At 37.5% G+C, this 25,671-nt stretch overlaps 1 protein-coding gene and 1 long non-coding RNA gene across 22 annotated transcripts in view, besides 1 other annotated feature; one reads left to right on the top strand and one right to left on the bottom strand.

The window, feature by feature from the left end:
* HYCC2 (hyccin PI4KA lipid kinase complex subunit 2) overlaps positions 1-25,671 on the top strand; it is a 97,954-nt gene that overhangs the window by 37,670 nt on the left and 34,613 nt on the right. For 17 of the 20 annotated variants that reach the window (NM_001321618.1, NM_001321624.1, NM_173822.5 and 14 more), the window contains 5 exons: positions 9,963-10,043; positions 11,070-11,171; positions 16,832-17,011; positions 22,530-22,610; positions 24,914-25,029. In NM_001321618.1, coding sequence (NP_001308547.1) covers positions 9,993-10,043; positions 11,070-11,171; positions 16,832-17,011; positions 22,530-22,610; positions 24,914-25,029 — 530 coding nt within the window. In that variant the 5' untranslated portion in view covers positions 9,963-9,992. Of the gene's footprint in view, positions 1-9,962; positions 10,044-11,069; positions 11,172-11,887; positions 11,944-16,831; positions 17,012-22,529; positions 22,611-24,913; positions 25,030-25,671 lie in introns of all 20 variants that reach the window. The other 3 variants (NM_001321629.1, NM_001321627.1, NM_001321628.2) reach the window with 1 other exon arrangement.
* Positions 11,775-11,944: an enhancer, noted in NCBI's record as "active region_16970". NCBI's record gives its function as "activates an Ori minimal core promoter by ATAC-STARR-seq in GM12878 lymphoblastoid cells {active_cell/tissue: GM12878}" and the evidence as "EXISTENCE:reporter gene assay evidence [ECO:0000049][PMID:35858748]".
* LOC105373835 (uncharacterized) overlaps positions 14,932-25,671 on the bottom strand; it is a 55,639-nt gene continuing 44,899 nt past the window's right edge. The window contains exons 2-3 of one of the 2 annotated variants that reach the window (NR_187976.1): positions 24,901-25,016; positions 14,932-20,173 (exon numbers count right to left, since the gene is read on the bottom strand). This is a non-coding gene — a long non-coding RNA (uncharacterized LOC105373835). The remainder of the gene's footprint in view (positions 20,174-24,900; positions 25,017-25,671) is intronic. The other variant, NR_187975.1, reaches the window with a different exon arrangement.

Here is a 25,671-nt window from a genome sequence, read left to right as displayed (position 1 = left end):
GAGATGGTACTTTTTTTTTTTTTTTAAACTAGAGGATGGTCATCAGGATTACTTGAGGGACTTTTCCAAAATAAATATTCTGGACCCTATATCAGACAGGGATTCTGATAAAGTATATATCAAATTAAAAGATTTGTGTTGCTTTTTAAAAAGTATTTGGCTTGGCTGGGTGCAGTGGCTCATGCCTGTAATTTCAGCACTTTGAGAGGCCGAGATGGGAAGAGTGCTTGAGCCCAGGAGTGAGACCAATCTGGGCAACATAGGAAAACCCGCTCTCTATATACAACAAAAAAAATTGGGCTGGGTGCCGTCGCTTACACCTGTAATCCCAGCACTTTGGGAGGCCGAGGCGGGCAGATCACGAGGTCAGGAGATCGAGACCATACCGGCTAACATGGTGAAACCCCATCTCTACTAAAAATACAAAAAAATTAGCCGGGCGTGGTGGCGGGCGCCTGTAGTCCCAGCTACTTGGGAGGCTGAGGCAGGAGAATGGCGTGAACCCGGGAGGCGGAGCTTGCAGTGAGCCGAGATCGCGCCACTGCACTCCAGTCTGGGCGATAGAGGGAGACTCCGTCTCAAAAAATAAAATAAAATAAAATAAAATAAAATAAAATAAAATAAAATAAATTAGCCAAGCATGGTGGCACATGCCTATAGTACCAGCTACTTAGGGGGCTGAGGTGTGAAGATTGCTTGAGCCTGGAAAGTCAAGGCTGTGAGGCTGCAGTGAGCCCTGATTGTGTCACTGCATTCCAGCCTGGGAAACAGAGAGAGATCTCATCTCTCTCTCTCTCTCTCTCTCACACACACACACACACACACACACACACACACACACATACACACACATACAAATAGCTTTTTGATTTCTAAAGGCAGTTTATGTTCTTTAGAGAACATTTGAAAAAAAATGGACCAATTGTAGTTTTTTCTTGCCCTTTTCAGTAAAGTAGTAATATACATTTAAAAAAAAAACAAATGCCTTGTAGTTAGCTAAAAGATGACTTGTTTATACATTTCTCCTAAAACATAGACTTCTTGATTTAAACCATTTAAAATGTTTTGAATAATTATAATTATCTAAAAAACTTTTAATTTTGATGTTTAAAAAATGTTTTTGTAGCCTGGGCAACATAGTAAGACCCTGTCTCTACAAAAAACAAAATTATAAAAAATTAGCCAGGCGTAGTGGCACACGTGTATAATCTCAGCTACTCAGGAGGCTGAGGCAGGAGGATCAACTGAGCCAAGGAGTTTGAGACTACAGTGAGCTATGATTGCACCACTGCAGTCCAGCTGAGGTGACAGAGACCTGTCTCTAAAAAAAAAGTTCTTAATTTTTGTGTAACAATAACTAGTTAGAAAAGATAATGGAAGCGAATCTCAATCGTAATTGCATCAAAATATAAAAACCACGTAGGAATTAATTGGAAATTGTGTTGACCTCTATGAAGAAAATACAAAATTTATACTAAGACATATGAAAGAAGATTTTTAAGAAAGAGCAGTGCTGTGCTTCTCTGTGGGATAACTCAGTATTGTGAAGATGTAATTTGGAATTAATTTATAAATTCTCCTGAGGATAGGATGTGGGGAAGGAATTTATTATCAAAAGTCTAATATTCATCTTCAAGAATAAGGCAGGCAATAATGATGAAATATATTTTTAGAAAAAATGAATTAGGATAAAGCTTGTACTGTTATATATTAAAGTATATTATAAAATGACAGTAAATAGGCTGGGCGTGGTGGCTGACACCTGTAATCCCAGGACTGTGGGAGGCCAAGGCAGACTGATCACTTGAAGTCAGGAGTTCGAGACCAGCTTGGGCAACATGGTGAAACCCCATCTCTACCAAAAATACAAAAAATTAGCCGGGCATGGTGGCACATGCCTGTAATCCCAGATACTCGGGAGGCTGAGGCGGGAGAATTGCTTGAATCCGGGAGGTGGAGGTTGCAGTGATCGAGATTGTGCCACTACACTCCAGCCTGGGCAACAGAGCGAGACTCTGTCTCAAAAAATAAAATAAAATAAAATAAAATGGTAGTAAATAAATGATTGCAGTCCTTGTGCAAAACTAGTGGGAAAAGTAGCTGGGAAATATTTTCAAATATATGTAAGACTTTAGTAGTATTTCAAGTCTCTGCAGAAACAGAAACAAGAAAAGGCATGCAAACAATGTATTAGAACAATTGGAAGAAAAAATTGTTAGATTTTAATCTAATATCATATTCTAAAATAACCTCCAGATTGTTTAAAGAGTAAACCATGAATGTGGTTTTTAATTTTAGAAGAGTCAAGCCTTAACTAAGCAAGCAAGGTGATTTTTTGTTTGTTTGTTTTTTGAGACAGAGTTTTGCTTGTCGCCCACGCTAGAGTGCAATGGCGCTGTCTCGGCTCACCGCAACCTCCGCTTCCCAGGTTGAAGTGACTCTCCTGCCTCAGCATCCTGAGTAGCTGGGATTACAGGCATGTGCCATCATACCTGGTTAATTTTGTATTTGTATTAGAGATGGGGTTTCTCCATGTTGATGAGGCTGGTCTTGAACTTCCAACCTCAGGTGATCCACCTGACTCGGCCTCCCAAAATGCTGGGGTTATAGGCATGAGCCACTGTGCCCGGCCGATTTTTAAAATACAGTAATATATATTGTGATTTCTTTTTTGTTACAGAGTGTTCTGATTCCAATTTTCATTGTGCTAGTTTTAAAAGTCTTATATATTAATAAATGCAGGCAAATTGATGGTTTTATATTTAGATTAATTTAGGTTTCTATGCTATGGTAGTAGCTTTATAAACAGAGCAGGAAGAAATTATTCTGTACATGTAACAGCCATATGCTTCTTAAAAATCTGAAAGATTATAGTTTTGAGAGTAGATTTGGATATGCTATCAATAATGTTTATATCTTATAACCTTAAAATTTCAAGTACAATTTTTAGAATTTATACTGTGGAAGACAACAACACAAATGCACAAATATGTATAAGGGTGTTGATTGCAACAATGTTGTGGTAATATAAGAAAATTGAAAACAATCTGTGTCCATCAGTAAGTTATTGGACAGATAAGGGTTTGTGCTTACAGTTTTATGGCTGTTAAAAAGGATGAGATAAGCTGGGCGCAGTGGCTCACACCTGTAATCCCAGCACTTTAGGAGGCCAACGTGGGCAGATCACCTGAGGTCAGGAGTTTGAGACCAGCCTGGCCAATGTGGTGAAATCCTGTCTCTACTAAAAATACAAAAATTAGCTGGGTGTGGTGGTGCACTCCTGGAATCCCAGCTACTTGGGAGGCCGAGGCAGGAGAATCACTTGAACCCAGGAGGCGGAGGTTGCAGTGAGCCAAGATCTCGCCACTGTGTTTCAGTCTGGGCGATAGGGTGAGACTCCAACTCAAAAAAAAAAAAAAGGAATGAGATAGATCTATAGATCTTTGATGTGTTTTTAACAAATGTAAAAAGCACACTGTAGAACACTATATATGATGTGAACATATGACTACATTTAAATAACATATTTACCTACATACATGTTATAAATATATATATAAATACAGATCTGGAAGAATGGTTGACAGTGTTTGTGGATGGAATGAGTGGTTGGGCTAAGTTCCATTTTTTTTTTACGGGCATCTATTTATGATATTTTAAAATTATTTCAAAATTTATTATCAACTAACTGTATTTATAGATAGATATTTTTGTAAAACTATAGAGGTAATAGTTGAGATACAGAGCAGGTATGGCTTTTTAATTTTCCAGTAAATAAAAATCAAAGGTCAGTAATTTAATATCCAGCAATAGAGATAAGGGAGTTGTTTAAAGTTCCAATTTTGTTTATTTTGGAAAGTATGTCCTTTTTGTCACCATTACAATGAAATTTCCGGACTTTTTGTTTTTGTTTTTGAGACGGGGTCTCACTGTGTTGCTCAGGCTGGAGTACACTGGCATGGTCATAGCTCACTGGAGCCTTGAAGTCTTGAGATCAAGCGTTCTTCCCACCTCAGCCTCCTCAGTAACTGGGACTACCGGTGTGCATGACTATATCCAGCTAATTTTTTTTTATATGCTTTAAGTTCTAGGGTACATGTGCACAACGTGCAGGTTTGTTACATAGGTATACATGTGCCATGTTGGTTTGCTGCACCCATTAACTCGTCATTTACATTAGGTATTTCTCCTAATGGCTATCCTTCCCCCATCCCCCCACCTCATGACAGGCCCTGGTGAATGATGTTCCCCACCCTGTGTCCAAGTGTTCTCATTGTTCAATTCCCACCTATGAGTGAGAACATGTGGTGTTTGGCTTTCTGTCCTTGTGATAGTTTGCTCAGAATGATTGTTTCCAGCTTCATCCTTGTCCCTACAAAAGACATGAACTCATCCTTTTTTATGGCTGCATAGTATTCCATGGTATATATGTGCCACATTTTCTTAATCTAGTCTATCATTGATGGACATTTGGGTTGGTTCCAAGTCTTTGCTATTGTGAATAGTGCTGCAATAAACATACGTGTGCATGTGTCTTTATAGTAGCATGATTTATAATCTTTTGGGTATATACCCAGTAATAGAATCGCTGGGTCAAATGGTATTTCTAGTTCTAGATCCTTGAGGAATCGCTGCACTGTCTTCCACAATGGTTGAACTAGTTTACACTCCCACCAATAATGTAAAAGCATCTGTTGTTTCCTGATTTTCTGATGGTCGCCATTCTAACTGGTGTAAGATGTTATCTCACTGTGGTTTTGATTTGCATTTCTCTGATAACCAGTGATGATGAGCATTTTTTCATGTGTCTGTTGGCTGCATAAATGTTTTCTTTTGAGAAGTGTCTGTTCATATGCTTTGCCCGCTTTTTGATGGGGTTGTTTGATTTTTTCTTGTAAATCTGTTTAAGTTCTTTGTAGATTCTGGATATTAGCCCTTTGTTAGATGGGTAGATTGCAAAAATTTTCTCCCATTCTGTAGGTTGCCTGTTCACTCTGACAGTAGTTTCTTTTGCTGTGCAGAAGCTCTTTAGTTTAATTAGATCCCATTTGTCTATTTTGGCTTATGTTGCCTGGTGTTTTAGTCATGAAGTCCTTGCCCATGCCTATGTCCTGAATGGTATTGCCTAGGTTTTCTTCTAGGGTTTTTATGGTTTTAGGTCTAACATTTAAGTCTTTAATCCATCTTGAATTAATTTTTGTATAAGGTGTAAGGAAGGGATCCAGTTTCAGCTTTCTACATTTGGCTATCCAGATTTCCCAGCATCATTTATTAAATAGGGAATCCTTTCCCCGTTTCTTGTTTTTGTCAGGTTTGTCAAAGATCAGATGGTTGTAGATGTGTGGTGTTATTTCTGAGGGCTCTGTTCTGTTCCATTGGTCTATATCTCTGTTTTGGTACCAGTACCATGCTGTTTTGGTTACTGTAGCCTTGTAGTATAGTTTGAAGTCAGGTAGTGTGATGCCTCCAGCTTTGTTCTTTTGGCTTAGGATTGTCTTGGCAATATGGGCTCATTTTTGGTTCCATATGAACTTTAAAGTAGTTTTTTTCCAATTCTGTGAAGAAAGTCATTGGTAGCTTGTTGGGGATGGCATTGAATCTATAAATTACCTTGGGTAGTATGGCCATTTTCACAATATTGACTCTTCCTGTCCATGAACATGGAATGTTCTTCCATTTTTTTGTGCCCTCTTTTATTTCATTGAGCAGTGGTTTGTAGTTCTTGAAGAAGTCCTTCACATGTCTTGTAAGTTGGATTCCTAGGTATTTTATTCTCTTTGAAGCAATTGTGAATGGGAGTTCACTCATGATTTGGCTCTTTGTTTGTTTGTTATTGGTGTACAGGAATGCTTATGATTTTTGCACATTGGTTTTGTCTCCTGAGACTTTGCTGAAGTTGCTTATCAGCTTAAGGAGATTTTTGGGCTGAGATGATGGGGTTTTCTAGATATACAATAATGTCATCTGCAAAGAGGGACAATTTGACTTCTTCTTTTCCTAATTGAATACGCTTTATTTCTTTCTCTTGCCTGATTGCCCTGGCCAGAACTTCCAACACTATGTTGAATAGGAGTGGTGAGAGAGGGCATCCCTATCTTGTGCCAGTTTTCAAAGGGAATGCTTCCAGTTTTTGTCCATTCAGTATGATATTGGCTGTAGGTTGTCATAAATAGCTGTTATTATTTTGAGTTATGTTCCATCAATACCTAGTTTATTGAGAGTTTTTAGCATGAAGGGTTGTTGAATTTTGTCAGAGGCCTTTTCTGCATCTATTGAGATAATCATGTGGTTTTTGTCTTTGGTTCTCTTTATGTGATGGGTTACGTTTATTGATTTGCGTATGTTGAACCAGCCTTGCATCCCAGGGATGAAGCTGACTTGATCTTGGTGGATAAGCTTTTTGATGTGCTGCTGGATTCAGTTTGCCAGTATTTTATTGAGGATTTTTGCATCGATGTTCATCAGGGATGTTGGTCTAAAATTCTCTTTTTTTGTTGTGTCTCTGCCAGGCTTTGGTATCAGGATGATGCTGGCCTCATAAAATGAGTTAGGGAGGATTCCCTCTTTTTCTATTGATTGGAATAGTTTTAGAAGGAATGGTGCCAGCTCCTCTTTGTACCTCTGGTAGAATTCAGCTGTGAATCCGTCTGGTCCTGGGCTTTTTTTGGTTGGTAGGCTATTAATTATTACCTCAGTTTCAGAACCTGTTATTGGTCTATTCAGAGATTCAACTTCTTCCTGGTTTAGTCTCAGGAGGGTGTATGTGTCCAGGAATTTATCCATTTCTTCTAGATTTTCTAGTTTATTTGCGTAGAATTGTTTATAGTATTCTCTGATGGTAGCTTGTATTTCTGTGGGATCAGTGGTGATATCCCCCTTATCATTTTTTATTGCATCTATTTGATTCTTCTCTCTTTTCTTCTTTATTGGTCGTGCTAGCAGTCTATCAATTTTGTTGATCCTTTCAAAAAACCAGCTCCTGGATTCATGGATTTTTTGAAGGGTTTTTTGTGTCTCTATCTCCTCAGTTCTGCTCTGATCTTAGTTATTTCTTGCCTTCTGCTAGCTTTTGAATGTATTTGCTCTTGCTTCTCTAATTCTTTTAATTGTGATGTTAGGGTGTCAATTTTAGGTCTTTCCTACTTTCTCTTGTGGGCATTTAGTGCTATAAATTTCCCTCTACACACTGCTTTAAATGTGTCCCAGAGATTCTAGTATGTTGTGTCTTTGTTCTCATTGGTTTCAAAGAACATCTTTATTTCTGCCTTCATTTCCTTATTTACCCAGTAGTCATTCAGGAGCAGGTTATTCACTTTCCATGTAGTTGTGTGGTTTTGAGTGAGTTTCTTAATCCTGAGTTCTAATTTGATTGCACTGTGGTCTGAAAGACAGTTTGTTGTGATTTCTGTTCTTTTACATTTGCTGAGGAGAGCTTTACTTCCAACTATGTGGTCAATTTTGGAATAAGTGTGATGTAGTGCTGAGAAGCATGTATATTCTGTTGATTTGGGGTGGAGAGTTCTGTAGATGTCTATTAGGTGTGCTTGGTGCAGAGCTGAGTTCAATTCCTGGATATCCTTGTTAACCTTCTGTCTCATTGATCTGTCTAATATTGACAGTGGGGTATTAAAGTCTCCCATTATTACTGTTTGGGAGTCTAAATCTCTTTGTAGGCCTCTAAGGACTTGCTTTATGAATCTGGCTGCTCCTGTATTGGGTGCATATATATTTAGGATAGTTAGCTCTTCTTGTTGCATTGATCCCTTTACCATCATGTAATGGCCTTCTTTGTCTCTTTTGATCTTTGTTGGTTTAAAGTCTGTTTTATCAGAGACTAGGTTTGCAACCCCTGCTTTTTTTGTTTTCCATTTGCTTGGTAGCTCTTCCTCCATCCCTTTATTTTGAGCCTATGCATGTCTTTGCATGTGAGATGGGTCTCCTGAATACAGCATACTTATGGGCCTTGACTCTTTATCCAATTTGCCAGTCTGTGTCTTTTAATTGGAGCATTTAGCCCATTTACATTTAAGGTTAATATTGTTATGTGTGAACTTGATCCTATCATGATATTAGCGCACCCAGCTAATTTTTGAAAATTTTTTTGTAGAGATGGGAATCTCGTGCTGTGTTTCCCAGGCATGTCTCAAGCTCCTGGCCTCAAGCAATCCTCTTACCTCAGCCTCCCAAAGTGCTAGAACTGCAGGTGTGAACCACCATGCCTGGCCTTCTAACTTCCTATACCATCAGACCATGCCTTCCTGTCCACCCTCAACTCTTGCCCATTGTGCCCTGTACTCCAAACCACTTGGATCTTCGTTTAGATTCTGTAACTTTCTGTGCTTTTTCTTACCACAGGACCTTTTATATAAGTGGTTCCCTCTTCCTAGAATGTTCTCTTTCTACTCCCCTTAATTCTATAGATCTTTGATATCTCAACTTAAGCAGCACCTCAGAGAAGCTCTTTTGATTCCTTAGTCAATATTGGCTCCTTTGTTTTGTACTTCTGTGTCTTTCTTTCTCTCCTTCTTTTCTTTTCTTTTCTTTCTTTCTTTTTTCTTTCTTTCCCTTCATCTCTTTGAAAAAATATGTTTGGTCTCCTCCACTATATAAGTGGTTCATTAAAGTGGGTGTACATCTGGATTTGTTTATTATTATATTTCCAGATCCTAGCAAATGGTTGCCGTATAGTTGATGCTTAAGAAATATTTATGGAATGAACCAATTAATTCTTACGGAATCCCTTTTTAGCTTTTCGGCAGCTGCCTACTTGGGTGCTGATAAACTTCCAGGGTTGACCTTAGCATTTAAATGGAATTACAGTTTACATCCTACAGCTTGCTTTTTCTACTTGGGCATTTTCCTAGTGCATTTATTTATTTATTTATTTTTGAGACAGAGTCTCACTCTGTTGCCTAGGCTAGAGTGCAGTGGTGTGAACATGGCTCAGTGCAGCCTTGACCTCCTGGGCTCAAGGGATCTTCCTGCCTCAGCCTCCTGAGTAGCTGAGATTACAGGTGCACACCACTACACCTGGCTAAGTTTTTTTTTTATTTTTTATAGATATTGGGTCTCACCATGTTGCCCAGGCTGGTCTGGAACCCTTGGGCTCAGTCCTGCCTCAGCCTCCCAAAGTGCTGGGATTGCAGGCATGAGCCACTGTGCCCAGCTGTTTTTCCATTTTAGAAAATTTATGGATCTGTTTTCTTCAGAGGCCTTATTGTGTATGGTGCATATATGTTTATATTCAGTTTGCTGAATATGTAACCTTTGGTTTCTAGTTTATCTAGCTTTGTCATTTATACTCTCTTGGTTCATTTTATGATGTGTAGTTTGTTCTGGTTATGTATTTGGTAAAACTGTAGACTGCATTTGTCTGGATAATGTGCAACTTGATTTTACTCAGGACACTTGTCTTTGCCAGTTTGAAGTATTTACTGGAGAAAATATGAAAGCATTAGGATAATAGGTTTCAAGTGTATCATTAAACATAAAACTTATTTTTATTTTATTTTTGAGACAGGGTCTGGCTCTGTCGCCCAGGCCAGAATGCAGTGGCACGATCATAGCTCACTGCAGCCTCTATCTCCGGTGGTCAAGTTATGCTCTGACCTTTGGGTACCAAGTAACTAGGACTGGATGTGCACGCCACCATGCCCAGCTAATTTTCTTGATTTTTAGTAGAGACAAGGTCTCACTGTGTTGCCAGGCTGGTCTTGAACTCCGAGCTCAAGTGATTCTCCTACCTCGGCTTCCCAAAGTGTTGAGATTCAGGTGTGAGCCACCACGCCCAGCCAGAACTTACTTCTGAAAAATTTTCTTTTAATTGTGCTCCAAACTAAGACAAGTCACCTTATCTAAAATGTATAGTAGATTAATTTTCCTTGGTGAAAGGCACATATCATTTATTTCTAGTTGTTCCTATAAGTACTACTGTCCTCAGCTTCAATACTTTTTTCTTTTAGAGATAAAAGAGGAGTAGAAGGTAAAAGAAAATGCTGGGAACTGACCGTTGTGTTGTGGAAGAATGGTTATCAGAATTCAAGGTAAATTGGATTGGAGATCAGAATGTATTATATTTTTCTATACATCAGTAATTCAAACTGAATATGTGCTCTATGGAGAAACATTATGTGCTCTATGGAGAAACATAAAAATATGGTAGGAAGTGGAAATGGCAAAATACAAAATAACGTGTTTCTGTAATTGCAGTTCTTAAAAATGGTACTAATATGAATAATGGCTAGAAGGTGATACATAAAGATGAAAATAGTTGTTAGGATTGATGAGACGATATTTTAAAATATATTCAGTAAAAGAGAAGATCCATCAAGCTTTAATAAGGCACAAAAATAGGATTTATGCCTACGTTTTTCTGTCCTATAATTAAAAATCAAATAGTTTTTATGGAAAACTATGTAATTTATGAATACTATGGAATTGTAAATGTTTTGGCAAAACATAAATGCAAGAATTGAAACATCCTACATTTTTTTAAAGATTAGATTAATTTAAGATGGCCCATTTCAGGAAATGTTGGTATAATGTGTGATTTCTAATCAGTATTTATGGTTGAGTAGTTAGAAGAATTGTGTACTATAACATCCTAACTTAATTTGTTTGAACTCTGATGCTTCTTTCTTTCTTTTTTTTTTTGAGATGGAGTCTCGCTCTGTCACCCAGGCTGGAGTGCAGTGGCACGATCTCGGCTCACTGCAACCTCCACCTCCCAGGTTCAAGCAATTCTTCTGCCTCAGCCTCCTGAGTAGCTGGGATTACAGGCACCCGCCACCACGCCTGGCTAATTTTTGGTATTTTTAGTAGAGACAGGTTTCACCATGTTGGCCAGGCTGGTCTTGAACTCCTGACCACAAGTGATACGCTTGCCTTGACCTCCCAAACTGCTGGGATTCCAGACGTGAGCCACTGTGCCCAGCCTATTTCTTTATATTAATTATTTTTACTTTTCTCACTTGAGTTTGTTATAAATCTGTTCAAGAACTATTTGTGTAAAATAAAGTTCCTTGCTTCTCAAATGTTCACTTTTGTTTTCCTTTGGTGGTTTCTTTTAGGCATTACCTGACACTCAGATCACCAGTTATGCAGCAACTTTACACCGGAAAAAAACACTTGTACCAGCCCTCTATAAAGTTATTCAAGATTCAAATAATGAGGTAGGAGACCTCAAGAAAAATAATTTCTACATAGTGAAATGAAATATGTATACCAAAACACATAAATTTAAGTTTTATAATTTTCTTTCCTTGTGGATCTGGAAAATTTTCTTTCTGCTGTTTTTCATTCTGATAGTTGCTTTGGCTTTCCCTATTCCCTGCCTTTCCATATTTTGAAATGTTTTGGTCAAATTTTTTCCTGTTGAGTGTGCAGTATGTTTTGATTGTTAATTTTATTGACCATCATCTCAGTGGATTATTTATTTGAAACTTTTCTGTTTCCTGTTCTGGAATGTTTCCTGCTCTGGAAGCCATATTTTAACTGTATACTGATCCAGCTTTATTTATCTTAAGTATTTTTACAATTATTTTACTGATAATATATAACTAGGTATAATCACTCTAGTCAGTGAAATCAAACTGATAACACAAAATGATGCTGCTAGTAAATTTAGCCTGAAAAGGATCAGAGGAAGCACTTTTTAGTCTAAGTAGTCAAGATCAATAAACTTAGAATGAGAGTTTTGTATTATTTAGCCTTGTGATAGAAGGAAAAAGTACAGTTATTGAATCTGTATATTAATTTATGCAAAATACACACATTATCTTTCCATTAACACAGTAGTATGACATACAGTTTTATCACCACTGGATTCATGTATGCTTAAAATGAAAATGAAAGGAACACACAGGAAAGTAGCTTCTTATCTTCCCAGATACAGCCTCCAAGAGTGCCTCTGCTGTGTACTGGAGTGAGTTTGAAGAAGTTCAGGTAATCCTCTCCTAACCAGCAGCTTAACTTAAAGTGCATCTTCATTTTTGTCCTACCACTAAAAGCTTGCTTATTGACCTCCTTCTTTCCTGTCTCCTAAATTGTGACTGGCTCTCAGTTAGACTTGCATCTGTTGCTATTTGTAGCAGCAATTGCAGGATTCATTTGCTTTTTCTCTTGCAGTGTATTTCTGAATGTTTTATAACTCTGGGTATGCATAATGTACGTATATGCATATCCATATGGTCAAGAGTTTTCAGAATTCTTTGTTTGAATAATGAATGTGTGTATTCCCTACCCCTTGTTTTGCTCTGTCTTAACATTTAAGCTTTGCTTATTAAAATGTATTTGTTTTAATGCTTTCTCTTTAGATTGTAAGCTCTTCATGGGCAGTGGTCAGATATTCTGTATTTGTAACTTCCCGAGAATCTAGTATTTTATCATGTACATAATGAACATAGAATAGTATTGATTGGAAGGACAGTGAAGTACAAAATGAGATTCTAAAATGACATTTTCATTAGGGCTCACAAGTGTATAAGAAGTATCCCTTTCCTATTTTTTTGTTTAATACTTTAGAAGCTATTACATTAAAAAAGCTATTCTCATTACTTTCTGTTGTCATATTTCGTAATATTAATGTGTGGGACTTTGGGGGTTTCATGGCTAGAAATGGAAAAATTACAGCTTGAGGGATGCGAGCTCAAGGTCCAGCATTCATTATAATCAATCAGTTGCTAGAGGAGGTCTGAATTTCTCTCCTGTCTCCTGTCAGGTTAGAAGGCTCTAACCATGTGTTCAGACTTCAGAAAAATAGAATGATAAATTCTATAGAATTTCAAAACAATTCTGGACTTTAGTCATAGAAGGAGGTCCCTTTTAATCCTGATTTTGTTATATTCTGAAAGAAACAAACATACTATTTAGGTTACAAGAAATTATTTTAGAAAATTGTCATGTGCCATATTTAGTATGAATTAAACTTAAAATAGTTGCCGGCGCAGTGTCTCACGCCTGTAATCTCAGCACTTTGGGAGGCGGAGCGGAGTGGATCATGAGGTCAAGAGATTGAGACCATCCTGGCCAACATGATGAAACCCCGTCTCTACTAAAAATACCAAAAATTAGCTGGGTGTGGTGGTGCACGCCTGTAGTCCCAGTTACTCAGGAGGCTAAGGCAGGAGAATCGCTTGAACTTGGGAGGCGGAGGTTGCAGTGAGCCGAGATTGCATCACTGCACTCCAGCCTGGCAACAAAGCCAAGACTCCATCTCAGAGAAAAAAGAAAATATTTGGAAACTTTCATATTTTCAGATTCAAATCTACCATTCTACAGCACTCTCTTGCCTTTTCTGGTGTTTAGTGGGTGAAATATCTCAGGTTGTATGAAAAGCCATCTGTTCTACTTAGGCCTGGATTCTGTCTTCTCTAGCTACCTTAAGGACTCTGGTCCTGCAATTATTCCTTCTCTCTTCCATCACTGATCTTTTTTTCTTTCCCTGATGAGTGGAATATGATAAACAACCATATTCTATTCTCTAAAAACTTTATTTCAGCTTACCTCCTATTATATTATCTACCCCATTTCTCTGTCCCTATTCACAGATGAACTTCATAAAATATTGCTTATTCATAGCCTCTGTCTACTTGTCTCCATTTCTTCACCTCACATTCTTTAACCCACTCAAGTTAGGCTTGTTCATTATTCCATCCAAATACTCTCAGTGTGTTCATCAAATATCATGTCTCTTAGTAATTATCATGTCAAAACAGTGTTTGCTAAATTTGGGAATGGTGTCAGTTATGATTTTTTCTAACCCAAGGATGATGATTTTTAATACTTTTTGATGTGGGTGGTGGTGCCATTTAAGGGAGGTCAGAATCATTTATATTAAGAATTTGAGAACATGGTGCTTGCTATGAGACATATGCTTCAAATTAAAGTTTTTTTATTGTTTGTTTGTTTGTTTTTTTCTGAGCCAGGGTCTCACTCTCTCTCCCATGCTGGAGTACAGTGGCACCATTATAGCTCACTGTAACCTCAAACTCCTGGACTCATGTGATCCTCCAAACTCACCTTCTCAATTAGCTACAGGCACATGCTACCACACCCTGCTAATTTTATTTTTTATTTTCTAAAGACAGAGTCTCACGGTGTTCAAGGCTGGCCTTGAACTCCTGGGCTCAAGCGATCCTCCCACCTTGGCTTCCCAAAGTGCTGGGATTACAGGCATGAGCTATTGAGCCTGGCCACAATTAAAGATTTTAACACATAGCATTGGCAATTTTTCTTTTTTTTTTTTAAGACAGGGCCTCACTTTGTCACCCAGGCTGGAGTGCGGTGACTTGAACACAGCTCACTGTAGACTGAACCTCCTGGGCTCAAGCAATTCTTCTGCCTCAGCCCCCCAAAAATAGCTGGGACTACCCAGGTGCGTGCCACCACACCTGGCTAATTTTTGTATTTTTTGTAGAGGTGAGGTTTTGCCACATTGTGCAGGCTGGTCTGAAACTCCTGGTCTCGAGCCATCAGCCTGCCTTGGCCTCCCAAAGTGCCGGAATTACAGGCGTGAGCTACCACACCTGACCAGCGAGTTTTTAACGGTCTTACTTTGTAGTAGTATCTGATTAAAACTTACTGGATTGCCAACATCTACCCCCCATTCGCTTACAAAAAACACAGAGTAATAATGCTGGTAACCCTGTATTTCTTCACTGTGCTTAGTTAAAATATAGTGTCCCACATGCCAGTGTACCTGTTGCTACTGAGAAAGAGGAGTTTAAGGTCTTCATAGAAGAAATTCATCATAATTGTACCATGGCCCATAAAGTTTAGAGAAGGCAATCTTTGGAGAGTTTTTTACTAAAGAGGAGATTGAGTTTGAAACATGAGTATAAATTTTTAGTAAACAAAATTTGTGAGAGCAACAGTTTTTTACTTCTAAAGAACTGAATATTGCTCTCAATATTTAAGAAAGATGCCAGCAACTGACAGTTTCCAAAAGTTTATTACTTGTTCATTATTGGCACTACATAGAATACACTGTTTTGTGATTAAACAATCTATACCTCCATTCTAATATAAGAAGTGCGGTAGAGTGGAAACATCAACTTGATGTCAGAAGACCTGAATTTAGTGTCTTATTTCACCATTAACTTCACCAACCTTTGACAAATTGTCTGACTGGTCTAGACTTCAATGTAAGGGAAGAGTTGGAATATTTTTCTTTTGTGTCAGTCTTGCTCTGTTACCCAGGCTGGAGTGCAGTGATGCTGTCATGGTTCAATGCAGCCTCAAACTCCTGGGCTCAAGCTATCCACCCTCTTCAACCTTGTGAATAGCTGGATGTGTACCTCCACACCCAGCCTCTGGAAAATTTTTTAAGATTTTAAAAACTGTTCTGATAGTGATTTCACATAAAGGGCTTAGTATTTACTAGACTAGGATGTATATGTATGTAAATTTTTTAAGCTTTAGAATTCTTCCAGAGCTAAGCCTAACTCTTCTAAATATGTTAACTGTATAATTGACATGGATTTGTTAACTTTTTATAATCATGACAGTGACTTTTTATTGTAGAGTGTTAGATTATTACAGATGTATGTAACTATATTCAAACAGATTTCCAAATGTATATGCATTATTTTAATCATTTAGAATAGAGGAAAGTACATGAAATTACTGAACTATTATTCTTTTTTTTTAAAGAGTTAGTATTAAACTTTAAAAATTACTTTATAGTTTCTTGTCAATATTTTATATGAATTTTAAAGTCATAGCCAGTTTTCTGCAGCCTACGGTTACTCCAGCAAACCCATTCTAAATTGGCAGTACATATTTAGGGAAAAGTGGGAAAGTTTATTTTAACTGCTCATTTTCTTCAGTTTTCTAGGTCATGAAGTTCCTCATAAGTCATATTGTGTGATATCGTATGAAAAATTAGCCAATTGAACACTGAAAAAGCTATTTCTGGATACTTTTCTCCTTTATAAAATCTTTCACATAAATACAATAAGAAAAATTTAAGTCAGTTTTAAAATAGTTTGCCTCACTTGTATGTATTTTAAATATTAGCTAGAATTTTGGATGCACAAATATGTATTGCAAAATCCCTTCTTCTACTGAGTGGTATATAAGTTTTTTTAAAATGGAATGTGGATGCTTTAATAAATTTCATATTGCAGTGAAGACACTGAGCACTTAGAGACAATGACATCAATACAATGAAAACTGATTCCACAGAACACTTACAAATGCATACATTTTCCTCCAAAGAAACATGTTTTTCACAGATTTAAGTAACAAATGATTTACATAGGATTCTTCTGATTCCAAAATATGTACAGAATTTTTGACTGTCAGAAACTGATTAGCAGTGGTTGAAAAACAGAGTTGCTTTGCCCAACAGCATGACTCTTAGAAAATTCTGTATCAACACACATTTTTCAGTAAGAGTGGTATATAATTTGCTTAAATCATAGTCTCAGTTGAGATTTTAAGTTTATTCCCAGCAATATTATGCAAAATTATTTTATTTCAATGGAAAGTTTTTGAAATGGAAGATAGAGTTGATAAGAATAGAAAGGAAAATTCTTCTCAAATATAAATGTAGTACATTGGCTAAAGGACTAATAATCTAGTAAATTTAGTAGTACAGTATACTGAAAGGTACATTGATGTATGGGCACAAAATACTTCTTATAGTTAGTGGATTGGTCAGTTTAATATGTGGTCTCTTTACACAAAGGTTTTGGTTAAATTAAAATGTGGAGAAATTAATATTAAGACTTTTAAAAATATTATACAGATATAGGTGCCTTAAAAAAAAAAAAACAACAGTTACAACCAAAAGAATTGAAATGACCAGTGCACTTTATTTTCCTTTTAGCTCCTGGAGCCTGTCTGCCATCAGCTGTTTGAGCTCTATCGTAGCTCAGAGGTTCGACTTAAGAGGTTCACACTGCAGTTCTTGCCAGAATTGATGTGGGTTTATTTACGGCTTACAGTTAGCCGAGACAGACAGAGTAATGGTTGCATTGAAGCACTTCTGTTAGGAATTTACAATTTGGTAAGTTGAAGATGACAGTTTGGGAAATTTTAAGTATTTTTTAAGGTCCTCTGAAATAATACTTAAGGAATGTTTAGAGAAAAATAAATTGGCCAGGCGCAGTGGCTCATGCCTGTAATCCCAGCATTTTTGGGAGGCCAAGGCAGGCATATCACTTGAGGTCAGGAGTTCGAGACCAGCCTGGCCAACATGGTGAGACTCCGTCTCTACTAAAAATACAGAAATTAGCTGAGCATGGTGGTGTGTTCCTGTAATCCCAGCTACCTGGGAGGCTGAGGCAGGAGAATTGCTGGAACTGAGGAGTTAGAGGTTGCAGTGAGCCAAGATTGTACCACTGCACTCCAGCCTGGGTGAAAGAGTGAGACTCCGTCTCAAAAAAAAAAAAAAATTAAAAATAATAAATAAATTGAGGCCGGATGTAGTGACTCATGCCTGTAATTCCAGCACTTTAGGAGGCCAAGGTGGGAGGATCACTTGAGCCCAGGAGTTTGAGACCAGCCTGGGCAGCTTGGCCAAACCTCGTCTCTATAAAAAATTAGCTGGGCATGGTGGCATATGCCTGTAGTCCCAGCTACTGAGGATACTGAGATGGGAAGATCTCTGGAGCCGAGGACATCGAGGATGCAGTGAGCCATGATTGTGCCACTGTGCTCAAGCCTGGGCAAGAGAGCAAGACCCTGTCTCAAAAAAAGAAAAAACAATTCAAATGTCTATAAGTGTAACTTGTTTGAACTAATTAGGTTGAGTACAGGGGTAGATATTGATAATGCATTTTTTTGATAATGTATTTTATAAAGTATGTAAAACTACTATAATTGATTGTATTATTAATATTTTATTTATATCTTCAAATTGTTTTATTTGACCAATATTTATGAATGTTTTTGGATGTATGCCATTGAGTTGGACACTGAAAATATGGAGAATTACATGTGTGGCACCTGCTTTTAGGAAACTCCTGCTGTGTTCGAAAAGACATGTTTATAGATAACTAATAATGTGGTTTGTATAATAAGAGGATTTTAGAGAGAAACTCAGATGTTAGCTGAAGTTATCATGGCAGGCTTTATTGAGGTGATGCCATCTAAGCTGGGTCTTATGAAGAGGTATAGTTTTGGCCTGTTGAGATGAGGAGCCGGTGAGGTTTCTGGAAGCAGCTATCAATTGAACATAAGCAGAGAGGCAGGAGAGTCAAGTCACGTCCTGGAAATAGAAAGTAGTTCTGTTTGAAGCACAGAGTATATATGCAAGCTGGAAAAGACAATTTTGTGTCAGTTTTGGAGAATCTTTTTAAAGTGAAGAGTTTAGGTTTAGGTTCTCTTTAAAGCAATTAGAGGGTTTTGAACAGAAGAATTGTATTATATATTAGGAAAATGAATCTTATGGTGGTGTGCAGAGAGACTTTTGAATTATAAATTGAATTTAATCACCACTTCTTATATGTTAAAGGCTATATACATAATTGAGAAGAGTGAGGCAAATGGACATGAAATTTCTGTTTCTCTGAGGGGAGGACATCAGTTACAGGGAAAAAGTCCATATAGTATTATAGCATGTTAGGATTTTTAAAATCTTAGTAAGAACACAGTGGAAACTAGGGGGAGAAAAACCATAAACACTTCTGAGATACTAGGGGCTTTACATGGAACTTGAAGATTGAGACTTGATTACTTCTGCAAGATGGGGAGGGTATGCTAGAAAGGTTACAAAGACTGTAGGAAGCAAGGTAAAAAGGTGAGAGAGTTTAGGAACATGGGATCATCTGTGTTGCACCTTTCTGAAGACTTGGGCAGCACAAGGCACCTTTTCTTGCGCAGTGCAAGGAAGCAAAATAGCACAGCATCATATTTCCATTCTCATGTGCCTCTACAAAATTGGGCAGTTACCTGAACTCATCAATAAAGAATCGTGAATTTTATGAATGTATCTTGGAGTCGTTGAGTGGGGTAGCAATTGAGAAACCACAGTGTTATTTGTCATAAAAGTTGTAAATTTGTTAATAGTTATTTGATAATATATTATATATTTGATAGTACATTGTTTATGAAACTGTTTTCTTCTAAGGAATTAAGTACCATAAACATTATTATTCTATTTTTTTCTCATGATGTCCAGTTAAGGACCATTGGTATTGAAATTTCTTCACCTTGAAGTCTTATATTTTGTGTATTTAGTATACATTATAAACAAAATTCCACATAATAAAGTTTAGTTGTATAACTGAAAGGTAATAAGGTACAAGAAAATTGAATCTCATGATAAATATTCTTCTGTACCAGTGCTCACTCCTCTCTTAGTTACTTTAAAAAATCATTAGCAAACATTTCCATCTCTAGAAGTCTGAAGGAAGGAGCAAGGGCTTTAGAATGACTTGCATTCAGTTCAGAACCATGCCCTGCCACTTATTAGGTGTTTTAAATTTGGGCAAGTTACTTAATATCTTGACTTCAGTTGCCTCATCCATAAAAAAGAAAACATTGTTAGTAGGACTAAAAACAACTTGAAGAATTCATTATGTTGCATAAGGTGTTTATAAATGTCCATTATTATTACCATCAAAATTAAAAGTGGGTTTAAAAAAATGAAAATTGATCTAGGAATAAAATTCTCTACTTTCCTAACTTGCCTGATTGTTTTTTCTTTTCAAGTAGGAAATTTGTTATATATCACTGTGTTTCCTATAGTGCTTACCAGCAGATACTTAGTAAATGTTTGTTGATTTAATAATGGAATTTGGTGTTTTAGATTATGCTTAGCATTAAGCTATCATTTTTATTAATGTGTTTAGTGTAATAAAATTCAATAATGGGACACATGAAACAAACATTTTGCAAAGTGTCATGTTTGACAAGTTGTTGACATAACTTATTGGTGCTGTGGTTCAGTTATCTTTTGACAGTGCAAAATTAGTATACTATAGAAAAATGCTCAGTTATATGTCAGAAATGTAACCCTAGGCTTTGGACTCCTTTTGATTCCCTCGATGTCTGTGTTCTTCCTTTTCTGTGGTTCTCAGTTTTTCTTAATCACAGTGGGAGTCATCCATATATTCTTTTCTGTTTTTCCTTCTTTCCCTCCCCAGCACTTCGTTGTTTCAAATAGCCCCAGGGGGAGTTGTATATTTCTCTTAAACAAAATTTAGCATATCATTTTCACAAATACCTGCAAAGATAAATCAAAAGTACTTGGCTTAATTTGAAATTTAAGAATAAAATTAAAACATTTTTGCTTAACTTAAATCAGGCCCATTCATCTTAGCATAGGCTTTCTCTGAAGCACAGTGGCCCAGATGTGGTGGGACCTGGTTTAACTACAAAGAAGTTATACCCTCAAGGGACTTTTCAGACCTATTTTCCTACCATAATTAGAGGTATGGTCATTATTCACATGTAATTGGTATTCTTCTCTGACATAATAAACTCAGAAATGAGCCCTATACGGAAGTTCTTTGGGGTTTGTGTTTGGTGATGATGATTATTGCTGCTGTTCTTTCTTTTTTTTTTTTTTTTTTGAAATGGAGTGCAGTGGCACAGTCTCAGCTGTCGCCTAGGCTGAAGTGCAGTGGCAGTCTTAGCTCTCTGCAACGTTTACTTCCGGGGTTCAAGTGATTCTCCTGCCTTAGCCTCCCAAGTAGCTGGGATTACAGGCATGTGCCACCATGCCCAGCTAATTTCTGTATTTTTAGTAGAGATTGGGTTTTGCTTTGTTGGCCATGCTAGTCTCGAACTCCTGACCTCAAGTGATACTGCCTGCCTCAGCCTCCCAAAGTGCTGGGATTACAGGCGTGAGCCACTGTGCCCGGCCTGATGTTTCTTCTTTTTAGGCCATGCAGCTACTCAGTCTCTGACTACTTACCATATAGGTCTAGTAAGGGCAGTCTTCTTTCTATGGATTTTATGCCAGTGATGTATGCTAATATGAGTTGTAAGGGAAATAGACAAAAATAAGACAGTGGGGAAAAGGATTGCTGCAGTTTTCACTCCTCTGATTGTCGTCATCTGTAGGCGTGTGTGTGTGTGTGTGTGTGTGTGTGTGTGTATTTTTTGAAACGAAGTCTCGCTCTTGTCCCCCAGGCTAGAGTGCGATAGTGTGATCTCGGCTCACTGCAACCTCTGCCTCCTGGGTTCGAGCAATTCTCCTGCCTCAGCCTCCTGAGTAGCTGGGATTATAGGCGTCTGCCACCATGCCTGGCTAATTTTTGTATTTTTAGTAGAGACAGGGTTTCATCTTGTTGGCCAGGCTGGTCTCAAACTCCTGACCTCAGGTGATCTACCCGCCTCAGCCTCCCAAAGTGCTAGGATTACAGGCGTGAGCCACCACGCCTGACTGCACATATTTATTTATAACAGGAATATTGGAGGTGCCAGAGATGGAGAAATGAAGGATACCATTGTCCATTGTCTTTTTTATGAAAATAAAGTGTTTTCTAAAAAATCACAAGAACTGTCTTGTAGCTTAGTAAAAATTACCTAATAGGAATTTATTTTTAATGACTTAGACTAATAATCATTTTGTTTGTTTGTTTGTTTTTGAGACAGGGTGTCACTCTGTCACCCATGCTGGAGTGCAGTGGGTGATCTCAGCTCACTGCAACTTCCACCTCCAAGGCTCAAGGGATCCTCCCACCTCAGCCTCCTGAGTAGCTGGGACTACAGGCCTGCGATACCATGCCCAGCTAATTTTTGTATTTTTTTGTAGAGATGGGGTTTTGCCATGTTGCCTAGGCTGGTCTCAAACTTCTGAGCTGAAGCGATCCGACTGCCTTGGCCTCCCAAAGTGATGGGATTACAGGCCTCAGCCACCACACCTGGCCCAATAATTATTAATGTGGCTTATTTCAGGTCATTCGTTTATTGCGAATGATTGTAAGAGTTTCTTTTATTCAAGATTCATTCATAAAGGTTCTCACCATTTAAAAAAAAAGGGATAACTATGAGGTGTTGCATGTGTTAATTAGCTTGATTGTTTTAATCATTTCACAGTATATACATATATTAAAACATTGTGTTTTATGCCATAAATATATAATGTTCATTTGTCAATTATACCTCAGTAAAGCTGGAAAAAATTCATTCTGTATTAAATTAATGTGTTTTTCTTGTTTTCGTAAGTGTGGATCTCTTGGATAAGACTTTTAATTTTAATCTGTTTAGCATAGCCATGTTTTTACTAAAGGAGCTAATCACTTGTAATCTTCCCATCCTGTATGTAAATTTAACATCAAATTGATTCGTTTGCCTGCCTCATGTCTTTGCTGTCATATTGTATTTGATTTAGTATAATATTGTACTCAATGTCCATCTCTCTGTGGATTCTGTGGATTATAACTGTACTACCAAAGTGTACAAATTTGTTAATAAGTTAGAAAAGATAAACTAGGGTGGTAATGTTTTTATACATTACTGTTTCTGAAAAATCTTCCTACTGCCAATCATATATTCTGTAAATTAAGAAAGTAATTATTATTTCGTGTAGATCTGTGATTATTTCATTATCTTTGTATATTTTTTGACTATAGGAAATCGCTGATAAAGATGGGAACAATAAAGTTCTGTCTTTCACTATCCCCTCCTTATCCAAGCCTTCAATATACCATGAAGTAAGTAACATTGGAAAGGTGGAATTATTTTAAATTATATTGAGTAACAAATCAAAAAGTCAGTTTCTTATCAGAGATAAATATTCCTAAAATATCTTTACTGATTTGCTTCTTAAAAGTGGATGTTTGTTATTAGAAGACTGAGCTGTGACGAGAGAGGTAGAAAATAATGAAAATTTTCTTTAGTTCTTTTGTTTTTTTATTCTTCTATCAGTATCTTTTTTGTTTGTTTGTTTGTTTGTTTTTTGAGATGGAGTCTCGCTCTGTCCCTCAGGCTGGAGTGCAGTGGTGCGATCTTGGCTCACTGCAACCTCTGCCTCCTGGGTTCAAGCGATTCTCCTGCCTCGGCCTCCTGAGTAGCTGGGACTATAGACACGTGCCACCATGCCTGGCTAATTTTTTTATTTTTAGTAGAGATGGGGTTTCACCATGTTGGCCAGGCTGATCTTGAACACCTGACCTTGTGATCCGCCCGCCTAGGCCTCCCAAAGTGCTGGGATTACAGGTATGAGCCACCACGCCTGACTCTACCATCATTTTTTACTCTCATTAGTCTTTTATGAATTTTTAAAAAATTCTTTAATTTTTAAAATATTTTTATTTTTAATTTTTTAAATAATAAGCTTAAAAATATTCTTTAATTTTTAAAGTCTTCCATACTACTTAGAAATCACCTTAGATTGATTTGTTTTTGTTATTCTTTATTATTCTAGGAAAATAACTACTTAAAAGAATGTTGACACTCTAATTGTTGTATTTCAGTTTAAAGGAATCTAATTGCTGTATTCTAGGTGTTCAGTACATTATACTTTTTTGCTTATATTTATTTGGCTGAAGAATTTGAGAACACTGATAATCATGTAGGTAAATGATACCTGTTGAGCTGAACTTCTTCTACTTTCTGTCTTTAAGTAAAATCCAATAAGAAACTTATGAATCAAACTTGTGGTCTGCAGTGGCCTTTGTTGCCACTACACTAAGTCGTGAGGATAACATTTAAAGAAACTTTACTAGTAGTCTAAAAATTGTATTCTATTTTCCTGTCAACACACAGTATCCTGACCATCTCATAGCTCTTTGCACTATTAATTTGCTTAATTAATTCCGTGGGACTTTGTTTTGTGTTTAAAATAGAATGTCTCCCATTTAGCCAGGAATCATTTTAGCACAGTATATTTCTGAATAATAGATTTTAATTAAGTTGTGTGTATCATGAAATAAAATGGAGAGTAGTAAAGTATTAAAGAATGGATGGTTCTTCTTCTTCTTTTCTTTTTTTTTTTTTTTTGAGACAGAGTCTCGCTCTGTCACCCAGGATGGAGTGCAGTGGCGCGATCTCAGCTCACTGCCACCTCCACCTCCCGGGTTCAAGCGATTCTCCTGTCTCAGCCTTCCGAGTAGCTGGGACTACAGGTGCATGCCACCACGCCCGGCTAATTTTTTTGTATTTTTAGTGCAGATGGGGTTTCACTGTGTTAGCCAGGATGGTCTTGATATCCTGACCTCTTGATCTGCCCACCTTGGCCTCCCGAAGTGCTGGGATTACAGGCGTGAGCCACCGCGCCTGGCCTGGATGGTTCTTCTAACTTTAGAAACATGAACTCAATAATGTTAGTATTAAAGAGACATTTGGGCCAGTTATGGTGGCTCATGCTTGTAATCCCAGCACTTTGGGAGGCCGAGGTGGGTGGATCACTTGAGGTCAGAAGTTTGAGACCAGCCTGGCCAACATGGCGAAACCGCGTCTCTACTAAAAATACAAAAATTAGCTGGATGTGGTAGTGGGTACCTGTAATGCCAGCTACTCAGGTGTCTGAGGCACAGGAATCACTCAAACCCAAAAGGCGGAGGTTTCAGTGAGCAAAGATTGTGCCACTGCACTCCAACCTGGGAGACAGAGTGAGACTCTGTCTCAAAAAAAAAAGAGAGATATTTGATTATAGTCTTTAATATTGTTTGTATAATTATAAGCAGTTGTACTCATTCTGGAATATAGACATTAAAATGGATGTATTTTTAACCTTTAGTTTTTTCAGCAACTTTTCATACTCTCTTAAATATAGATTTATTACATGACTTTTAAAAAATGTTTTTAGTTTTATATTTTACAGGCAATTTCCAAAAGAAGCTATAGAATTTATATAATTGACAGTTGAAAGATTCTGAACCTTTTCCGTGAAGAATGAGAAGAATAAATGATCCAAAACTGCCTTTTATGGAAAAGAAAATTAAATATTATTACATGATACAGATTTTTACTTCATGGTAGAGACATTGTCTCATACTGTACCTTATTTTTGTAGCCTTCAACAATTGGATCCATGGCTTTGACAGAAGGGGCATTGTGTCAGCATGATCTCATCAGAGTTGTTTATAGTGATCTTCATCCTCAGAGGGAAACATTCACTGCACAGAACCGGTAATGGTCAAAACTGTATATAGTAACAACTTGTATGTATGTATGCATGAATATATATATGAATGAATGAATGACAGAGTCTCACTCTGTCACCCAGGCTGGAATGTAGTTTGTAGCCACAAACATGGCTCACTGCAGCCTTGACCTCCCAGGCTTAAGTGATCTTCCCACCTCAGCTTTCCAAGTAGCTAGGACTACAGGTGTACACCACCATGCCTGGCCAATTTTTTTTTTATTTTTTGTAGAGAAAAGGTCTTGCTATGTTGTCCAGGCTGGTCTCGAACTCCTGGCCTCAAGCACTTCTCCTGCCTCAGCCTCACAAAGTGCTGAGATTATAGGCATGAGCCACTGCACCTGGCCCATTTATTTATTTATTTAGAGACAGAGTCTAGTTATGTTGCCTAGGCTGGTCTTGATCTCCTGGCCTCAACGTGATCCTCCCACCTTAGATTCCTGAGTAGCTGGGATTACAGGCATGCACCACTGCACTCAGCTAACAATCATTAACTTACACTTAGTAGTTAACTATAATTACTTCAGTTCAAGTTTGGTATGAGAAGACTCCAAAAGGTAAATACATCATAGTTGTGAAATACCCATTGTCTAATGTTTGGTATTATGTTATGGTCATCTTGTATAAAG

Source organism: Homo sapiens, chromosome 2 (genome assembly GCF_000001405.40).
Source record: "Homo sapiens chromosome 2, GRCh38.p14 Primary Assembly".
Lineage (NCBI taxonomy): Eukaryota > Metazoa > Chordata > Mammalia > Primates > Hominidae > Homo > Homo sapiens.
This window is presented reverse-complemented; position numbering and strand designations above follow the sequence as displayed.